The sequence below is a fragment of the Homo sapiens genome, chromosome 22 (assembly GCF_000001405.40).
Source record: "Homo sapiens chromosome 22, GRCh38.p14 Primary Assembly".
Classification (NCBI taxonomy): domain Eukaryota; kingdom Metazoa; phylum Chordata; class Mammalia; order Primates; family Hominidae; genus Homo; species Homo sapiens.
In genome coordinates this window covers 26,480,074-26,483,673 of record NC_000022.11, presented here as the reverse complement: position 1 = coordinate 26,483,673, position 3,600 = coordinate 26,480,074, and the positions used below count along the sequence as shown (strand labels likewise).

Sequence of the window (3,600 nt, the reverse complement as noted above, 5' to 3'; positions counted from 1 at the left end):
GTGGGTGGGCGGCGCTCGGAGCGCGGGGATACCGAGGGGCGGGCCCCCAGCTTAGAGCGTGACCCGACCCCGCCTAATCCTTAGGCGTTCGCCCACCATTTCCCAGTCCCGTAGAGCTGGGGCCAGACACCGCACAGCCCTAGTGCTGTTACCAGTCGCTGCCTGCGCCCCGGGGGCTGCGCCCAGCAGCTTCCTGGCCCTTTTCCAGCCATTAGCGTCCGTTTTCCAGCCCTGCTGCCCCACTGAGGCCCCTTCCCACAGCAGTATCACCAGCCCCAGCCCCGCGTTGTTACTATTACTTCCCAGGCTACCAGATCCTTTTCTGCTCATGTTCCGACGTCTCTTCCTACTCCAGGGCCATTATTGGTCTCTTCTGGACCTTTCAGAGATAAGAGAGGACCTCGGTAGTGTAGGGCCCAGTCCTCTGGGAACAAGGGATGGGGAGTTTTAGGCTGCTGTCCTTGGTTCCAGTAACAGAGATACCCCCTCCACAGGCACCCAAATATGCTCCATAGAATACAATGAGTGTGGTCCTGTGGAGGCCCAATCCAAAATATCTAGAGCTGAGAAGAGATAGAGATTTTACAGGCCGTCAAATATTCAATGGGGGTCGTCTCTAGAGACTTTTAACAAACTGTATTGTGTACCCACAGATTGCAGAATGGTGAGCAAACATTTGAGACCATGTTGCTAAAGCATTAAGCTTGGAGAAAGTGACAGTAAGAATTAGACAATAGTTTTGAAGTGACCAAGAGGTTGTCACATGGAAGAATTAGACCTTGTTTTGTGTTTTCCTGCAGAGCGTTATCCAGACTAGCGAGTGGGAGGCAGATGTAAAATCTGGAACGCAGATTTTAGTTTGTTGGAAGGAGAAATGTAACATAGTGAACCACGCATCTCTGGAGGGTGTAAAGCAGAGACAGCCAAGGTAATTTTTGGAAAAGAGTGCAGGAGAGTAGAGTAAACGATGCCAGGGTTCCTTCCGACTCTGAAATTCCGTGATACACTGAGCTGTCTTTCTCTTGTGGAAGTTTGAAAGCCATTTGATAAAGTTCTCTTCATTTTTTAGAAATTTGCCCTGCTCTGGAATTCTGCATGTTCAGGTTACTTTTGGACTGTCAAGATGACAGTTCCTTAATTTGGGTTCCATTATTACCACAGCAACTGGTTTATTTGTATAGCTGTCCACACCTAGAGCATTTTCACCCTGTCATTTGATTTTATCTTCCGTGAAGCTTGTGGTGTGTTTCCCTTAACTGTTCGAGAAACTAAAGCCCTTACTCTGAAGTCTCTGCAAGCCTCCCTCTTTGATTTTGAAGCATGATTGTCACCCTCACAGAAAGCTCTTTTGAAATATACCATTCGTTTAATCCTGCTGGGTCACATGCTCTCTCACGAGTTGCTGAAATATCTATTCCTTGTGTTTATTTCAGAGCCAAGGCACTGATGTTTGAACTGGAAACTTCAAAACGTTTAATAAGAGTCTTCAGGATGGGTTTGAACTAGACAAGCTAGAAATTTCTTTAGAACACCAGCTCTAGCATGCATCTCCCACTTTTGGCTTTCCTGGAGAGGAGCTTGAAGAGGTGGTTCTGCAGACAGCCACAGTGATACTTAGGAAACCAGAGGAATGGATTTGACTTTTCTGCTAGGATTCTCTGTTATAGTTTCTCCCTGAGTTGTAAGAGGCATGGAAATATACATGAAACTGAAGAACCTGCAAGGAAGGGAAGTGGAACTTTCCATGCTGAGTGAAAACTAACCAAGTGGCAGTTGTGACTGAAAACACTGAAACCTACCACGTCCAGATTCACTGGATTGGGGGATAGAGGAACGGTCACAGCTAGGGAGAAAGAAGTGATACCGGAAAAGAAAACCTAAATGAAGAGAATGAGGATGACTGCACAGTAGATGGCCACCTCTACCTCCACAGAGGCAAAGTCAGCCTCGTGGTGAGTAACAAGGCCTGCCATGGCATAGCTTTTGCTGGGCTGTTGGTTAGAGTTTTGGGGTTAATTGAAAATCCCCAGCCAGATTGTGTTAATTTTATTAACATAACAATAAAAATGCCATTTTCCTCAGAGCAGCTGAATCAAGCACGTGAGCCATCGCTCTCCAAAGCTAACATGTTTTAACCTTGCAAGCCTCTCCCAATGTTTGAATGAGTCTGGCATTGCTGGGAGATTGTAGAAAAGATAGCCACAGCCTGATCATGCAGCGAGCTTTGATGATAATGTGAATATTGTAGTCTTCAATTTGCAGAGATGAGGTATGGTTGCATTTGAGAATTACAGCATGAGGAGAGGTCTGGCCAGACTGGGTATCAAGGGGTATTACTCAATGTCTGTCTGAAACCCAGTTCCCTTCTCAACCCTAAATGCGTTAATCCTTTCCCATAATTAGGTTTAGCAAACATCAGTCATAGAGGAGATGAAGGTGAAAAGCAGGTTTAGCTAGAATTAGCAGGATTTAGTGACTGATTATTTATGTGGAAGTCAAAAAGATGGAGCAGTTCAAAATGACACCCAAGTTTTCTTTCGTGTGCCCGCACAAGCAGGGATGCTTTCATCAAGAGAACGTGGGGACAGGGGAGGATGGGGTGCACATGGAGTTTCTGAGTTGGCTTTGAAACTTTTTTGAGGCTTTTTGATCTGAGCTTACCCTGCAGCCAGTTGTACATCCAGCCTTAGGTATTGGGAAAGAGGACAGTGCCAAGAGACCAAGTTGGTGCTTTATTTATTTGTTTGTTTGTTTTTGAGACAGGGTCTTGCTCTATCCTCCAGGCCAGAGTGCAGTGGCATGATCTCAGGTCACTGTAGCCTCAATCCCCCAGGCTCAAGTGATCCTCCTACCTCAGCATCCCAAGTAACTGGAACCAGAGGCACACCCCACCATGCCTGGCTAATTTTGTCTGTTTTTTGTGGAGATGGGGTTTCACGGTGTTGCCCAGGCTAATCTCGAACTCCTAAGCTCAAGCAGTCCTCCTACCTAGGCCTCTCAAAGTGCTGGGATTATAGGTGTGAGCCACTGTGCCCAGCCAAGTTGGTGCTTTTTCATCAGGAAGGCAGGGTGGGAGCCATGGAGGGAGGCTTCAGAGAGGGCATAGATCCAGGGAAGAGAGCAGATGACACATTGGTCCCATTGCTTGTTTATGCTATAGCCTCATAAATGTGTTCTCAGAGACTTAGAAGTAAAACAGGTCCAGCCAGGCTCAGTAGCTCACACCTGTAATTCCAGCACTTTGGGAGGCCAGGGCAGGATTATTTGAGTCCAGGAATTTGAGACCAGCCTGGGCAATATAGTGAGACTCGTTTCTATAAAAAATTTAAAAAAAAATAGCCGAGCATGATGGCACACTCCTGTAGTCCCATCTACTTGGGAGGCTGAGGCGGGAGGATGGCTTGAGCCTGGGAGATTGAGTTTGCACTGAACCGCAATCGCACCACTGCACTCCAGCCTACAGGGCTACAAAGTGAGACCCTGTAAAAACAAAACAAAATTGAGGCCTGGCCTTTGAGGTGTTTGTTTTATGGTCTTAAAGAGGTAATCAGATAATAACATTACGTAATATAGTTATACTGCAGTGTAGTCTGTAAGAGT

General features: G+C 46.5%; 1 protein-coding gene across 52 annotated transcripts in view; it reads left to right on the top strand.

Moving 5' to 3' along the window:
* Positions 1-3,600, top strand: part of HPS4 (HPS4 biogenesis of lysosomal organelles complex 3 subunit 2) — a 40,755-nt gene that overhangs the window by 190 nt on the left and 36,965 nt on the right. For 42 of the 52 annotated variants that reach the window (XR_001755364.2, XR_007067985.1, XR_007067983.1 and 39 more), the window contains exon 2: positions 1,434-1,952. Coding sequence is in view for 36 of the 52 variants with exons in the window: in NM_001349905.1 (NP_001336834.1) it covers positions 1,912-1,952 (41 nt within the window). In the remaining 16 variants the exon portion in view is untranslated. Of the gene's footprint in view, positions 1-800; positions 929-1,433; positions 1,953-3,600 lie in introns of all 52 variants that reach the window. The other 10 variants (XM_047441580.1, XM_047441578.1, XM_047441573.1 and 7 more) reach the window with 1 other exon arrangement.